The sequence below is a fragment of the Homo sapiens genome, chromosome 3, assembly GCF_000001405.40.
Source record: "Homo sapiens chromosome 3, GRCh38.p14 Primary Assembly".
NCBI lineage: Eukaryota > Metazoa > Chordata > Mammalia > Primates > Hominidae > Homo > Homo sapiens.
Genome location: NC_000003.12, coordinates 37,784,038 through 37,801,535, shown reverse-complemented (window position 1 = coordinate 37,801,535; position 17,498 = coordinate 37,784,038). Strand labels below are relative to the sequence as shown.

Below are 17,498 nucleotides of genomic sequence, written 5' to 3'. Positions count from 1 at the left end.
GCTCCCAAAGTGCTGGCATTATAGGCATGAGCCACCACTCCCAGCTCTTTTTACTTTTTAAAAATTACTTATTGAAGTCGAATATACATAGAGAAAAGTATAGGTATCCTAAGTGTATAGCTCGCTGAATTTTCACATACCAAATGCTAAATGCATGTGTGTAACCAGCACTCAGATCAAGAAACAGAAGGTGACCGGCTCCCTAGAAGCTCCCTTCCCCCTTCCTTCCAGTCCCCACCCCCACCAAGGATGTCTAACAGCTTGGATTAGCATCACCTGCTTCTTTGGGTCCTTGCTATGAATGGAATGATGATGTATGAACTACAGTACCTGGTTTCATTTCTTTTCTCTTTTCTTTTCTTTCTTTTTTTGAGACGGAGTCTTGCTCCGTTGCTCAGGCTGCAGTGCGGTGGGGCAATCTCAACTCACTGCAACCTCTGCCTCCTGGGTTCAAGCAATTCTCCTGTCTGAGCCTCCCAAGAAGCTGGGATTACAGGCGCATGCCACCACACTCGGCTGATTTTTGTATTTTTCATAGAGACAGGGTTTCACCATGTTGGCCTGGCTGGTCTCGAACTCCTGGCCTCGAACTCCTGGCCTCAGGTGATCCACCTGCTTCAGCCTCCCAAAGTGCTGGGATTACAGGCATGCATCTGGTTTCTTTCTCTCACTGTTATGTTTGGGAAATTGCTCCAGGCTGTGGCATGTCCACTCTCACTGCTGTACAGTATTCCTCTGTGTGGACATACCACTGTTTATTTATTCATGCTATTATTGATAGGCATGGAGATTATTTCCAGCTTGGGGTTATTAAAAAGAGCAATTTTCAGATAATAGGCAATTCTCAGGGAAGAACATTTACTGGTAGGAGGTGGTAGGACAGAGTGGGCTCTGAAGTCTGTCATCCTAAATCCACTATTTTCTATCTAGTTCAAATGAGCAGCTCTCATCTTTAAAGGCAGACAGACTCATGTCTTTGGGTTCCTGCCCTTAAAAAGCTGTGGATCAAATCACTTCCTGCATTTGGAATCTCTCATGGTGTCTTGTACAGATGAACTGTGAGGAACTGTTAGGAAAGATGGAGAGGGAGGAGCGCTGGCTTTAATCTGGTCCTGGTGCAACCGTAGGCAACCAACTTTCTCTTCCTCTGTGAAATGGCGGTCTGATAGGGAAATGTGGCAGTTCTGTGAAAGCACCTGGGTGTGAGAAAAGTCTGCTAAACCTTATTGTTGACTATGAATCAGACTGAGACACTGAGCTCAGCGGGGTTAGCTGTAAAACCCAGCCCCCTGTGCTAACCCAGATGGCTTCTTAGGGACACTGAAATCTGCATACCAGCAACGCCACGTTGGAGGTCTGGTTTTGTGGACACAGAGGTTAAAGTAGCAGCTACAGTTTAGTCTGTCAAGTTCCACAAGAATGCCCTGTCACTTCCCCGGAATGTGGGCTTCATCTCTTATTATTTTTAGGGATGCTGTTCATCCCCTTGGATGCGTGCTCCATGCTTTGGCAGAGCCTGTTCTCTCACATCACAACTCTCAAACTCATCTGTGAGTGATGAGCTGAGTGTCCTGTAGCTCTAGGAAGTCATATCTTAGATTAAAAAACAAAACTCTAAGGAAGGAACAGCAGCATGGACGACATGGAGAGGCAAGAAGCACTGATGATCAGGTCCCGTCATCACCACCAATGAGCTGGGTGATCCTTGGTTAAGCCCCTACACCTTTCTAAACAACTTTTCTCTCCATCCTCTTGTTTCCATCCCAGGTACCTCCTGGCTCACATCTCGTCTTCTCTCACCAGCACTATTTCAGGAGGCTTGGAAAGGCCTCCTTGCTGATAGAGTTGTTTTTCTAAGGCACAGGTCTCATCATGTCACTTCTCGGTTTACAGTATCCATGACTTTCCTTTAGGCTGAGCATCTAATTCAGGACACCAGGGCCTTCATACTCTGGTCTCCTTCCTGCCTTTCCAGCTGCTCCCAGGACACATATTTACATTCTAGCCAGTTAGAGGCCTCTCCTCTGTGAGACCGGTGGTCCCCAGCCTCTCTGCAGGCTGCTCTTGCCTCCTGAAATGCCCTTCCATCCTTGTCCATTTGACAAGCTCATTATTGCTCATCTGAAAATGTTCATACTTGACCAGTCTGGCCAACATGGTGAAACCTCGTGTCTACTAAAAATACAAAAATCAGCCAGGTGTGATGGTGTATGTCTGTAGTCCCAGCTACTTGGGAGGCTGAGGCAGGAGAATCACTTGAGCCCGGGAGGTGGAGGCTGCAGTGAGTCAAGGTGGCACCACTGCATTCCAGCCTGGGTGAAAGAGCAAGACTCTGTCTTAAAAAAATAAAAAATTAAAAAATAAAATAAAAATGTTCATACCCTTTGATCCATTAATTCAGTACTTGAAAACTTACTCAAAGGAAATAAATATAAAATACGGAAAAAGTTTTATGCTCAAAGATGTTCACTGCAGAATTATTTATATTGGTACTAAATTAGCAATATCCTAAGTGTCTAACATTAGGGCAATAGATAAGTAAACTATGGTCAATCACAAAATAGAATACCACAGAACTATTAAAAATGATGACAGAAAGCTGGTTGTCAAAGCATAATTTTCAAAAAGTTAAAAACATGATTCTCATACAAATATATAGTGAATACGTGGCAAAGATTTATTTAATTTATTATTGAGGAAGTCAGCAGGGTGGCAAAGCTAGTTTTAAAAAGACCAGAAAAAAATGTGTAGTCACAGGAAAAAAATTACTGAAATCAGATTACTAAATCAAATACAAAACTGGCTAATACCCTACAAGGCAATAAATTCTAACCTTTGGGATATTTTCAGTCAAACAGAAATCATTTTTATCTTTACTGGCAAGAGTCATTTATAACTTATCAGCCTTCCGTAAGTTAATAGGTAACTTTACAGAATTTGGGACCTCCACCAGTGCTTCTCAAATTTTACTGTGTATAAGAATCACATGAGGAACTCTATTAAAATGCAGATTCTGAATTAGAGTCTAGAATGGGGCCTGAGAGCCTAGATTTCAAATAATCTCCCCCATGATGCTGATGCTGCTGGTCTGTGGACCACACTTTGAGTAGAAAGGGGCGAGGGGATGCTCCAGTATGACACTGAAAGGATATGTAATCATCTTTTTGCCTGATTTCCAAATTTTAGATACTTTTGAAAACATAGTAATAATGTGGGAAAATGATGTTTATTATGCTAAGTTAAAAAATCAGAAGATGCTGGCTCATGCCTATAATCCCAGCACTCTGGGAGGCCAGGGTGGGAGGGTTGCTTGAGCCTAGGAGTTCAAGATGAGCCTGGGTAACATAGTGAGACCTTGTCTCTACAAAAACACAGAAATTAGCTGGGCATGGTGGCATGCAACTGTCGTCCCAGCTATTTGGGGAGCTGAGGCAGGAGGATCATTTGAGCATGGGATATCGAGGCTGAAGTGAGCTGTAACTGTGCCACTGCGCTCCAGCCTGGGTGACAGAGCAAGACCCCGTCCAAAATAAAATAAAATAAAATAAATAGGTTGGGTATGGTGGATCACACCTGTAATTCCAGCACTTTGGGAGACCAAGGCGGGTGGATCAACTTGAGGCCAGGAGCTCAAGCCAGCCTGGCCAACATGGCGAAACCCCGTCTCTACAAAAATTAGCCAGGTGTGGTGGCGCACACCTGTAATCACTTGAATCTAGGATGTGAAGGCTGCAGTGACCTGAGATTGTGCCACTGCACTCCAGCCTGAGCGACACAGTGAGTCTCAAAAAAATAAAATAAAAAATAAAAAATAAAAAGATTATCTAATACGTAGAAGACTTCAGCTTTGCAGCAATACAGTAGGAACCCTTTAAAGTAAACAGGTGTTTTTTTGATATTATGAATATTATTTCTCTTTTCTACGTTTTACTATTTTTTAAATTGAGCATTTTAAAGGCAAGTAAAACCATTTTATTTTTTTAAAGGAGAGACTCTGCTCCAATATCTGCTTTCCCAAGAAGCCTGCCTTACTCCTGTTTTCAGCAGAATTAATCATTCTCTGAGCTCTTGGAAACATAGTGATTTTCAACCTCCTATAGCATCCCAGTGTATACAATGGAGCTTCTTAGGTGGGCAGCTAGAACCCAGACTACTCAGCCCCCATTTGTTTTTATTTTTTGGAGACAGGGTCTCACTCTGTTGCTTAGACTGGAGTGAAGTGGTACAATCTTGGCTTACTATAGCCTCAACCTATACTATAGCCTCAATCACTTGAGGTGGGCTCAAGTGATTCTCCCACCTCAGCCTCCCAAGTAGCTGGGACTACAGGCAAACACCACCACAGCCAACTAATTATTATTATTATTATTTGTAGAGATAGGATTTTGCCATGTTGCCCAGGCTGGTCTTGAACTTCTGGGCTGAAGTTATCTGCATGCCTCAGCCTCCCAAAGTTCTGCAGGTGAGCCACTGCACCTGACCCAGCCCCTCTTTCTAAGCCCTGTTCCTCCCTAACCTGACCTCAGCTGCACTGAACAAACTCAAGGGAACCCATGGCTCCAACAAAACAGAGTTTTAAAACCACAGCTGTATACTTCAGAGTCCCAGTTCTAGGTCCTTCTCACTCTTTAAGGTAATGATAAATCTTCCTGTCTACGGACTCCAGTAAACTGTGATTTGTATACAATAAAGACATGAATGCATGCATTCCTGTCACCTGAACCAAGGCACTGATTCATTATATGATTCATGAATATACAAATTAATACATTCAACATCATTTCTGCTATAAAATCAGATGAAGTATGAACACGACTCAGTTTGCAACAAAAGAGATGTGGGATTTGAAGTGGAGTCTCTGAGTGTGATTATTTTCTCTCTCCTTCAAAAATATATTTGCAAATGTTATATCTTTTGGGGGAGTCCTGGCCATCCATCCATCTGTCCATCCGCCCATCCACCACCTATCCATCTGTCAATCAACCTGTCCATCTGCTCTGTCCATCCGTCTGTCCGTCGTTCCATCCATCCATTCATCCATCCATCCATCCATCCATCCATCCATCCAACCAACCAACAAATGTGTCTGCAGTATCTCCTATGTGCTAGACATTGTGGAAATTCATTGATGAATAAAACAGGCAGTCTTTGCTTTCACAGAACTTCCAGCTTCTAGAGACTACTAGTCAATTAGAAAAATAAATGCATCATTATAACTGTGGAAGTGCTACAAAGGAGAAGTTCATGATGATAAAAGATCCTCATGATAGAGGCATGGGAGTGAACAGAGTTCCCTGAGGAGCCATTTGAGCTGAAGGTGAAAGGACAAGCAGAAGTTTACCAGCTAAACAAGGGAGGGAAGATCATTCCAAGGAGAGGGAACATGATGTGCAAACCCCCTTTGGCATGAGTGAACTTGGCAAGGGTGAGACACTGCCATTGGACAGTGAACTGGAGCCAACAGGATGAACAAGAAGCAGCGGGAAGATGTTCATGATATGCTGGAGAGACAGGAGCTGGAGGCTGCAGTAAGATCTCCATGCTTTACCTTAAGAGGAATGAGAAGCCACTGGAGGATTTTGAGCAGGGCAGTGATGTGATTTGCATTTTGCAAAGTACACTGCAAAATGAATCTAGGTCAGAAGAGATAACTGAATGTGGGAGTACAAGGAAAAAGCCCCCGTGAGAGGGCTGCGGGGGAAATGGTTTCCCCAGGTTAGATCCACGCTTTCAGTAAGAAAGGAGGTGGTGTGAAAGGAGAAGATTGACTGAGGAGGAGGAGAAGTCTGCTGGTTTTGGGGGAGTGGCTGTGAGGGTCGTAGCAGGCTGAGCTGGGGAAGGCAGGAGCTCTGGCCAGTGAAGGGATGGCTGATGGCCTGGTGCGGACCCTGGCTGGAGGGCTCACACACTGGACGCTGACTAACAAAACAGACGAAAATGGGGAGTATGAGGATCTGTCTCAAGGGGGCCTTTGAGGAGGGCAAACAGGCCTTTGAGACAGGTCCAGACACTGGCACCCTGCCTGCTTCTGTAGAATTTAACGTACCTGAGGTTGCCAAGCTGGTGTCATGGAGTGGCCAGAAGCCAGCTTCCAGTCTGAGGCAGTGGGTGAACCTAAACCACACTATTTGATTCACTTCTGTGTTTCTGGAAACTTTTATGTTCTGATCAATGCAAATATGCCTACTGTAACAGCTGGCAATGCCCATGTCTCCACAAGGCCTGAGAATATGATCACAATGGCAGTACATCTCACCCAGGCTTCTGCTGGATGGAGGGCTTCCAGAGACGGAGGGACAGCTCGGTCAATACCATCCAAGAGGAGGTTCAACTCCAGACCTAGGCCAGCTGAAGGTCAATGACAAGGGCAAGATGCTCTCTGCAGTCAACATCACACACTTGTCTCAATAGAAGGAAGGAATTTATATAAAATAAGAAGTGGAAAGAGAATAACATCTGTGACAGTGAGATGACATTTCCACCCGATTCTGATTCCATCTAATAGCCAGTGCAGGTGTGGGGGAGGGAGGAGGGAGACAGGGTGGTTGGGGCTGGAATAAATGTTTTCAGCAGAACCATGCCTCAGATGGCTCTCAGAACTCAGCCTAGAAGGCAAGCCAGTTCAGAGGCACAGGGAGACTTATGGAGACGACATAAATGAACAGAAAATAAACTGTACATTTGGCAAGACTGGCACTGTAAGTCTGTGCTGTGATGAACAGAGATGTCAAACATGCCCCATGCCTGCCAGGTGTCATGTTTCCAAAATCCCTTTCTCTGTCAGAGTTTGCAGAGGAATGAGCTGGGCTTTCTAATTCCTGTTACTGGTAATGGATCACATTTGTAGAGTACTTACTATGCACCAGGCACCATGCTGAGAGGTTTACTATCTACTACTCCCCATAATCCTCACATTGCTCTTGAGAGAGAGAGGGATGGAGCTCATTTACCTCAAGCGATGGAGAATCCCGAGGAGTCTTCATTCTCCCCTTGACTGCACATCTGTGCATCTAGTTAAGGACCAGGACACAATGGGAAGAGTTCCAAAGCCAACTGACCACCAAATAAGTCTGAGCATGATGTGCTCCTGAGGCCATTAGAGCCAAGGGTCACTCCTAAGACAGAGGGTCAGCTGTCTACCACCCAGGAATGCGATTCCTCCCACCTGCTCTGTGTGTGGGCTCTGGGCTACAGGACAGCACAGGCCAGAGGGGTAAGGGGTCAAGGGAGACTCAGGGCTCGCCAACAGGCAGAGCTGTGGCCAGAAATTCCTCTTCCACTGACCGGCTGTGGGGCATCCAGCAGGCTCCTTCACTCCCGGAGCCTCTGTTCCAAAGAAGATGGAAGTTGTAGTGCCTAGTTCACAGGGGTGATGTCAGAGTGACAGGAGGTAATCATAGCACATGCCTAGCACTTCACAGGAATTCAGCAGATTCGAGCACACCTCACACAATGAGGTCATTCATCTTAATGGGACATGGACACGCACACTGAGCACAGCACCCAAGCTCTGAGTGCAGAACATTTCCATCTGTGGCCAAGACTCGGTTCTCTGCCCAGATCCTTTTGGGTCCCCTCTCTTGATTTGGCCTGCCCAGCCCCCAGGTTTGTCATGCCTTCACTTCTAGAGGCCTGCCTCACTTTTAGAGGGTAAAGTGGCTTGGGGTTACTACCTCTGGAACAGCCCCAACCAATGACTGGCAGATACAGGAGTGTGAGACCCCAGCTCCCCTGCTTCCAGGCAGGACCAACTCCGAGGTCAAGATCAGGGTGGAGCTAAGATGGTCCCTGAAATCTCACCCTTGCTTCCCTTCTCCTCTTTCCTATCCTGTCCCATTTATTTCTGGGTCTCATTAGGAGCATCTCCCTAAATAAACTGCTTACATGATGCCCTCATCTCAGGGTCTGCTTCTTGAGAATCCAGCCCAAGACACCATCTGACTTCATCTTGAATGCCTGATCTTCCTTGTCCACGTGGGAAATTCCTTCAATACTTGTTCGGGGGTCACTCCTTCTGTGAAACCTGTCTTGACCTCTTCAGCACAGATACTCTGGGCACGTATGCATACAGTGCTGCAGGGGTGTGATGTGTGTGCACGTGTGTGTGTGTGTGTGTGTGTGTGTGTGTGTGTGTGTGTGTGTGTGTTGACCTGTTTGGGGCTGTGGAAGTCTTGAGGGTAAAAATTTCATCTTGTTCATAGTTACTGGGGGTATAACTAGCATCTAGTGAAAGCCTTTGATGGACTGGGCAACCTTCTGAGAATACAACTTTCCATAGCAGTGGCTTCTTTAGAGCCCACGGGTCCAGTGAGGGGGTATGGAAGCCACCAAGAGGGAGTTCCAGGAACCTCACCCCTGAGTCAACTGAAGCATATTTCAATTTAGAAATGGGTTCTGTTGCCTAAAAATAATAATGATGATGATCATACTCATCATGACGACTGGAAACTTTGATTTAGAGTAAACTGACCAGGACTTGAGGATTTGGGGAGAAGGAGGCTCATTTTTCATGTGGTTCATCTCCTTGGCCATCTCTTTATGCAATGACAGCCACTATTAACAGAGTGCCACCGTGGATGTGCTGTGCAAGGGGCTTTGCATCGAGATGACACTGGATCACTCCCAGCCCTCCAGGATAAGCATTCCTTACGTGTGAGTGGCACCGGTCACCGCACCTTCACTGACATAGACATACTGTCCACTTGCTCTGTCTCCTCTGCCACCCTGACCTCTTGCCAGGTGAAAATCGCAGCCTTCTAACCAGCTCCTTATTTCCACCTTTGCCCCTAAAATCCACCATCCACACAGTGGCCTACGATTTTTAAAGAACATACACTGGATCATGCCATTCCCTGCTCCAAACAGAAGCTTTCAATGGCTTTCCTTTGTAAGTGCCCAGTGGTGTTACCTGGCATGGACCCTGCCTAGGTCTACCATGGTTCTCTTCACTGCTAACCAGCTTCCTGCTACCTGGTCTTTCAGTGCCTTGAAGAGGCCAAGCCTTTTGGGGCTCCATACAGCTCTCCTCCCCAACTGAGACACTCTTCCTCATGCTTGGCAAGCGAATTCCTTCTCATCTGCCAGTCTCAGCTTCCTTGTAGAAACATTCCTCGACCCCCAATCTAAAGCAGGCTACTCCCTGGGGACTAACCTCAACTGGAAATAGAATTCTTGTTTGCGTCCTTGCTGACTGCTGCCCCCTCGGCCAGCTCTGGGAGGGCACGGATCATGTCTCTTTTGTTCCCCATCGAGTCCCCAGTGCCTAGCACAGTGCCTGGCTCTTAGCAAGCCCTCAATAAATATTCATCAAACAAATAAGCAAATGATGACCATTAGAAAATATGACTCGTGTGTTTGGAAAACTATACCGAGAGTTTTCTCAATTCTTGATGGTCAGAGCTTAATTCTCACATGTGGGGAGGTGGGTGAAGAGAAAGAACTACTCACCACCCACTGCTGATGGCATAGGATGGGGGCGGTGATGACCCTTCAACAACCCTCCTCTTCATCCTACATCTCAGCATAATGTGAGGTTCAAGGGGGGAAAGATTCTATTGTCACATGGAACATGATTGTAACTATAATTGGTCACATAAATGATAAATAACAAGTCACAGTCTATTTCATGACAGTAAAAGCAGTAAACTTTGCCTCTAGAAGCAGTACACCAAAGGAATGGTAAGTGGCATTTTTTTGGAGTAATCTTGCTTGCCATGTTGAAAGATGCCTCTCTGGTTGAGATACCAGGCTTGCATCTTTGGTGAGGGCAGTGTTAGGGAGTGGTGTGAAGGGGCAACTCACATGTGGGCAGGACTGTGGAGGGGCTGTGCCACCCTGAGCAGCAGCTATGCACCAGCCCTTCTTCTAGGAGCTTCATGCTGGTATCACTGAACCTTCTCAGCAACTCCAGAAAGTAGAAAGGTTTCTGCCTGACTCCAGAGCACGAGGTAGAGAGAAGCCAGGGATAGCTGTGTCCAGTGTCCAGGACACCATGCCAGACTTCCTGCGCCTGGACGCAGCCTATAGCCCTCAGGTTTCCAGATCCCTCTGATTTTTGGTCTGGTTCTCCAGCCTTCCAGCGCAATTCTGAGCACTTCCACTGGATAGCCTTCGAATCCATTCTGATTCTGCTGAAATGAGACAGAGCCAGTCTTTCCAGCTGTCACCAAAGACCTCAGTCTGGTGCATGCTCCATATGGCAGCAGCTTACCGACTCATCTGTGGACTTACAAGTTTATCATGTATTCTGCTATTTGAAAATATCAAGAAAATAGCAAGAATTCATGCACGCTTCTCACACAGACTGAGACGGGAGTTTGAGGGGATGTCTTGCAGTAACAGAGCTGATTCCATAAAGTCTTGATTTGCCTTGGGGGAGTTTCTGGCTTCAGGGGTCCTTTCCTCTTCTGTGGGCCTCAGTAACCAATTCAGGGATCAGAGAAAGCGCCTTCACCCCTCAGCCTCACCTGATAACTTTTTATGGCTGCACGAAGACAGATGAACGTCTCCGGAGCCTACTCATTTTCTTTCTGAAGGCCTTCTCAGAGATAAATTCCTTTTCTTTCTGCAGGCCAGCTTTCCAGGGCATGATTAACTACGTTTCTCCTGTTCTTCATCTTTATAGTTTCTGTGGGCCTCAAACAACACTTTCTGCATTTTCCCCTCTCGCCCCCTACTCATCACTCCCTGAAAGGTAAGTAGAGTTGGGTTGAAGATGAAATTCAACATGTAATTGGCACCTCGCAACCAGCACTTTGATTCTGCAGTCACACAGGTCTCACATGGCATTCTCAGGTTTGGGTCTGTACAGAGCCAGGTCTGGCTGATGTGGCTGGTCCTAGAAACATGCTAACATGCTCCCTGAGAAACGCCCTGGAGCCTGTCATTAGTGAACCAGGCAAAGCCTCAAGAATCTATGGCATATTTCTAGTTATTCACCCAAATGCTCTGTAAAGCACAACTTGTACCATGGCATAAAAATAAAAGATATAAAGAATCACAGGACATGTGTGCATGCTCCAGACGCCCTGGAGGCTTCCTGTGCCAGTGTTCCCACAAGTGGCGTAAACCTGAGGGCATCATGTTATGAGATGGGGGCTGCAGTGACTCGCAGGATCAGGCATTCCAACCGAGAGAACCGAGCAGAATGGGAAATCAGCAAGATGAAGCCCTCTCCTGCTCCCAGGCACCCCTCTACCAACAGCCTCCTGTGAGAGCAGATTAGTCTCTATCCAGAAATTAAGGGAGAGATTGCTCATAAAGATGACAAGCTGCTGCCATTTCTAAAAGATGTGTATGTTGATTCCAAAGATCTTGTGTCTTCCGCGCAGGTAAAAGCTGCTGAAACACATCAAGAGCCAAAGGAATTCAGATTGCTGAAAGGTCATCACTTTGATATGATAAATATTAAGAGCATTCCCAAAGGCAAAATTTCCATTGTAGAAGCACTGACACTTCTTAACAATCATAAACTTTATCCAGAAACATGGACTGCTGAGAAAATAGCGCAAGAATACCAATTAGAACAGAAAGATGTGAATTCCCTTCTTAAATATTTTGTTACTTTTGAAGTCAAAATCTTCCCTCCTGAAGACAAGAAAGCAATACAATCAAAATGAAGAAAATCACAAAAATTTCCTATGTGTACTCCTCATCCCTCATCCTGACTATTTTCTCATTTTTGGCATATTAAATTATGTTAATTACCAAATGTTTAATGCTCTCATTGTGAGAGCATAGTCTTTTTTTTTTTTTTTTTTTTTTTTTTGAGACGGAGTCTCACTCTGTCACCCAGGCTGGAGTGCAGTGGCGTGATCTCAGCTCACTGCAAGCTCCGCCTTCTGGGTTCACGCCATTCTCCTGTCTCAGCCTCCCGAGTAGCTGGGACTACAGGCGCCCGCCACCACACCCAGCTCATTTTTTTTTTTTTTGGTATTTTTTAGTAGAGACAGGGTTACACCACGTTAGCCAGGATGGTCTCGATCTCCTGACTTTGTGGTCCACCCGCCTTGGCCTCCCAAAGTGCTAGGATTACAGGTGTGAGCCACCGCGCCTGGCTGAGCGCATACTCTTAATATATATTGAGCTCCCTGACTTTTCAAGATTGCCATGGAATATATTTTGTTTTCTTTTAATTTGGTTTAGGCATATTTTATATGTACATGTCAGCATGTCTAATCAGTACATCTGCACCTTTATTATAAGTAGAAGAGTTAATTTGCTATTTTAGGCACATCATACCAACTCTTAAATTGGTCAGATGACCCCTTGGGAAATGTCCTGAATCCCTCATTTAAGTTTTACTTTCCAAGTTAGGTGTTTAGTTCATTCTTCATATGTGATAGTGAAAGTAAAAGCTTTCCTGACTCGTAAGGCTGACATTTTCTTGTTAGGGAAAGAGACTCGATAGCAAGGTAAACTAACAGTATTTCCCAAATAAAGGCACACAGGAGAAAATAATGAATCAATAGAATCTAATTAAAATTACTACCCCAGGGAATAAGAAGTATTGAGGATTTATTTTATTTTGAATTGGTTTTAAGTATGGAATAATCATCTTTACAGTTATAAAAAAATTAGTGTTTACAAAATGTTGGGCATTTCTGCTTTGACAAACAAACAGGTAAGTCCCGTGGCCTTCAGAGGCAGGCAGCAGTAGAAACTTTCCAAAAAGTAACAATTTCTCTGGATTTAACATGGAAATAGAAAAATTTAAAGAATAATTAAATTAAAAAACCATGGTAAATGAAATGTGGTGATGATATACAGTTTCGGATGTTAATGCTAGTTGAAAGAGAGAAAAAATATCAAGTAGAAGCAGAGGACAGGATCATTGGAAGGGACCTGAGAAATTGCCGCTTCATCCATTTTAGCACACTTATTAGCATGGCATGTACCAATATTAGGAAATTGAGTGACAGTGTGTGAGTTTAGCTCTGCCTAATATATTACTGCTTGTGGGATCTTTGGGAGACTGTATCCTCTTTGAGATTGAATTTCTTCTATAAAATGAGCATAATACTACCTTACTTAAATTTAAGGGTCATCATGAAGATAAATGTACTACATTTATAAACAGTAAAGTACTACAAAGGACCAAGCAAATACGAATTATTTTTTGCAGTGGAGAAACAAGCGCCCGGTGAGAATATATGACCTAAGGTTCTGTAGTTTATGACCTAACCAGGCCCAGAATGAAGTTTTTCATATCCTAGTAGTGTGTTTTTTCTGTTTTGACAAAAAACAGCATACCTCAGAGAAGGAAAAAAGTGTGAATTGTGGGTATATTGGGGTTATCAGTGTGCTTCTGAGGGAAGACAGGCATCACTACTTCCCAGAGATGCCCTGGAAATGATATAGAAGATGCTGAAGAATTCAACGTGATAACAGAATGAGGCATTTGTAGTAATGCTGAGAACAGAAAAATGGACTAAGTGGAAAATTTGTTTGCATGTCTTTGAATGTAGATTTGTTATGTGAACAAACTACCTAGTTTATTTTTAGTTCAATACAATAATTGTTTTAAGAAAACATGAAATAACTACTCAATATAAAATGCATTTTAAAACTCCTATTAAAAAAGATCACAGGAAAATTGCTTGATTTCTCCATCAGTTAAATTTACCACCGTGCACACGTTATGTGGTTAAAAATCTGATTGTTTTCCTCCCCCACTCGATACCAAATGCAAGTACATTTCCTGTTCCTTCCAAGGCCATAACAATTTGGTGCCTAATCTAAAATCTTTGAAACTTTGCCTAATTTAAATTTGGTGGCGAGGCTCTATGGAAATTCCCCTTCAGACTGATAGTTGACAGAAGGCCAGGCATTCAGAAGAATCACGCAGGGAAGATCGTGTTTGTTCTAAAAAGGCAAACCTTCCTACTCAGAAAAGATTTTTTTTTTCCTGCCAGGAAAATTGAGAACAACAGATTGTAGAACTTCATTGTAGCTCATGGACTGAAAAGGCAAAGTCATGGAAAGGAGGGAGAAGGGGCATTGTGGAATTCCCATGTGTGTTAATTTTTTCTTAGGAGTGCTAAAAAAAACCTCTCGGCCTCTTCCCAAGAACTCTTGATAATGAAAATATCACCATAGTGCTCAAAATGGAACAGTAATTAATGGAAGTGGTATTTTGGGGGAGTACAGATGACTTGGAATCCAACAACGAGATGTTAAGCAACATTTTCCTGGATCCCACAGTCTAGTCCTATAATGGAAGGCAATATGCCCAGTGATTTTTTTTTTTCATCTACACAAGGGATTCTACGTGTAGAAAACCTGTTAGCTATTTCCATTAGCTTCCACTTATTAACACTGTGGTTTACCAGAACATTCTAAACCTCTCATGTTGGGCAAGTATTTCATTCTATAAAACTTTTAAACCAGAACTATGACAATGAGCAGGGAACCACTTTTCTTTTTCACTTCCCAGGTGGAGGTCTGAATTAGCAGTTAAATGGCCAGAAGGCAGGGAAGAAAAGGGAAACACCAACTCCAAATATCTGACCTGCCAGAAAAACTGACCCTAAGTAGTAAATGACCCAGCATCATTCCATTTGGTTTCTATCATTAAAATTAGTGCCTGGCCTGAGCCAACAGGTGGAGGCTGCAGTGAGCCATGATTGCACCAGTGCACTCCAGCCTGGGTGACAAAGCAAGACCCTGTCTCAAACAAACAAAGAAACAAACAAACAAACAAAAATAGTGCTTGGACAACTTATCTTGTGGGTAGAGCATAAAAGTCTGCATGGAACACTCATTCTCCTCACTGAGTAGGGAATGCCCAACCCCTCACTCATTCAGGAATTCATTTTCATCCCAGACTCCCTGATGTTCTCATCTCTTGCTCACCAAAAACGGACAGGACTGAAGTTTTATTGAGGTCCTAAGCATTATTACTATTGGTTTTTTTTTTTTTGTTTGTTTGTTTTTTGTTTTTTTGAGACGGAGTCTTACTCCGTTGCCCAGGCTGGAGCAGAGTGGCATGATCTTGGCTCACTGCAACCTCCGCCTCCGGGTTTCAAGTGATTCTCCTGCCTCAGTTCCCAAGTAGCTGGGATTACAAGAGCCTACCACCACGACTGGCTAATTTTTATATTTTTTAGTAGAGACAGCGTTTCGCCATGTTGGTCTTGAACTCCTGATCTCAGATGATCCGCCTGCCCAGCATTTATTTTCTATATGAAACTTTCCCAACCAGGGTCTTGTAAGAGTAGTCTTTGGTTTGAACCCCATTCTGACATTTTGACATGTGGTGTCTCCACTGTTGTCAGAGAGTAAATTAACAACAGTTTCTAAGCACAAAATCATTATAAACTTATCACTTTTGTAAATGTGTCACAGCAACACTGACTGTTCTAAGAGAGGGTAAATTCCACAGAAGGGAAGCAGACAGGTAGCATCATTGCACAGCTCACTGGCAAAAGAAGTGCATCGGCTGCTGTCTCCTCCTCTACTCCCCTGGGATCTGAGTGTGGGCATCAAATACAGGATGAACCCCCCTCAACCCCCCTCAACCCCCCTGCTCCTGCAAGAACAACAATAAAAGGCAATAAAATTCCAAGGCCATAGCTTCCCTCCAGCCTCTCCCACACCTCCACTCTCAGCCTCGTGGTTTGCCACACCCTCCCGTGTCTCTGAGGCCTTGGTGCCAACTGCACTTTATGGAGGAGAAGGGGGTGGTAAATAGTTAAAGAGCAGTTACTAGGTCTTGGCAATTTGGATGTAATCTCTTTAAGTCATTCAAACAACTTGTTTTTAAAACACCCAGTGTTTGCCTGTAATCTCAGTGTTTTGGGAGGCTGAGGCAGGAGGATCGCTTGAAGCCAGGAGTTTGAGACCAGCCTGAGCAACATCGTGGAACCCTATCCCGACAAAAAAATTTTAAAAAATTTAAAAATTAGGCATGGTAGTGTGCCTGTAGTCCTAGCTACTCTGGAGGCTAAGGTGAGAGGATCCCTTGAGGCCAGGTATTCAAGGCTACAGGGAGTTATGACTGCACACCAGCCTGGGTGACAGAGTGAGACCCTGTCTCTTAAAAACCAAACCAAACCAAACCAAAACACAGTATTTACCCATGGAGTAATGTGACGGGTAAGGCAGATGTGGTCTGTCTTAGGAAAGGTCTAAGAAAGATATAAATAGTCCTGGCTCCACAGTGGAAATCCAACTCTGTTGACGTGGGTGTACTTCCAGACCATTTTCCCTTTGGACAATCATAGCAGGAAACATTCACATAATGATGGCATCCTAAAGGACAATGCTATCACAAGAACGAACCACAGAAGTTCTCCAGGGGGGGCCTGGAAGCCAAGGCAGGCATAGTCTTGGGTCTGCCACAAACCCAACATCTTGGCTCAGAGACTGTCTTGACCCTCAAATTCCAGCTCCAGGTCTCCAAGTCACCCAGCTTCCCTTGCCCTCTGAGGAGGGCTGTCCTGGGGTGGCTGACTCACCGTCACCTCTTCTGGGTTCCCATGAGCTATTTCCACCACCCTTAGGGCAGGATCCACCTTCACCTTGGCGCGGGACATGAACTGGATGACAGACGAACTGTCCTGTGGAAGAAACAACACAACTTACTTGAAGATTTTTCTATGATAATGGCTGGGCCTTGAGAGGGACTGGGCAGAACTGAAATTCCATGATTCCATGTAGCCCAGACAAAAATTTTATCATTGAACTAGATACCTCTCCATCCCAGGCACCCACATAAACACAGACTAGGGTCTCTCTTAAGGATTCTTTGCAGATCATGGTGGATGGTGGGAAATGATGGAGTTTGCCAGTAATCAACACACGCAAGATGTGTGCTGTGGTTTCCAAGCAGTTAGAGCCAGATATTTGGATATTGATATTGACATGTTCACAAAGAGTTGAGGATAAATAAAGCTGTTTAATTGTGTAGAGCAAATCTAGGCCTGGCATTCCACAGAAGGCATCTGATCTACATTTTATAGGCATCTTCCTGCCTTGACCACAACCCTCAAACCCTTCATATGAGTTGCTTTTAACTCTTTCTTTGCTCTTAAATGAAGTCATTTTGGAATCAAAACCATTAAACATTGAAAGAGGATGCCTGATGGAGAGATGGGGAAGGGGTAAATATCTGGCTTATGAATTAAGGAGAAAGGGGCAGGGGTATAAGGGAGCACAGCTAAGACTCTGGAATCACCCCCCAGCCAGAGGCAGGCAGAGGTCTTCCTGTGGGCTCAGATTCAAAGACACTGATCCAGATAACCAGAAAATGGCGCCAAAACAGGGATGGAGAAAGAATTTGGAAGAAGACAGGGACTGGAAAAACTGTGGTCTGGGGAGAAGCCAGAACCTCAAGCCAGTGGTACAGGTTGATTGTGGAGCAGAAGGGCAGCCTGGCTTCTGTCGTGGAAACAGATAGCAGAGAACTAGTGCATTCAACATTCTACCTGTGGGGCAGGAGGGGCTCCACAGGCAAGGTGTCTTGTGGTGTCCCCACCTACATCTACCCAGCTTGCCTG

General features: G+C 44.6%; 1 protein-coding gene, 1 long non-coding RNA gene and 1 pseudogene across 3 annotated transcripts in view; 2 read left to right on the top strand and 1 right to left on the bottom strand.

Annotated features, from left to right (window-relative positions):
* The window catches only part of ITGA9 (integrin subunit alpha 9), a 371,367-nt gene that overhangs the window by 21,972 nt on the left and 331,897 nt on the right, over positions 1 to 17,498 (bottom strand). Inside the window, exon 26 of the mRNA NM_002207.3 lies at positions 16,458 to 16,559. Within this exon, the coding sequence (NP_002198.2) occupies positions 16,458 to 16,559 (102 nt within the window). The remainder of the gene's footprint in view (positions 1 to 16,457; positions 16,560 to 17,498) is intronic.
* ITGA9-AS1 (ITGA9 antisense RNA 1) overlaps positions 1 to 17,498 on the top strand; it is a 108,092-nt gene that overhangs the window by 60,245 nt on the left and 30,349 nt on the right. The window contains exons 5-6 of one of the 2 annotated variants that reach the window (NR_110532.1): positions 10,625 to 10,693; positions 11,331 to 11,446. The exons of the other annotated variant lie outside the window; for it this stretch is intronic. This is a non-coding gene — a long non-coding RNA (ITGA9 antisense RNA 1). Of the gene's footprint in view, positions 1 to 10,624; positions 10,694 to 11,330; positions 11,447 to 17,498 lie in introns of those variants that run through there. 2 annotated transcript variants of the gene reach the window in all.
* NDUFAF4P3 (NADH:ubiquinone oxidoreductase complex assembly factor 4 pseudogene 3) lies at positions 11,004 to 11,753 on the top strand (annotated as a pseudogene).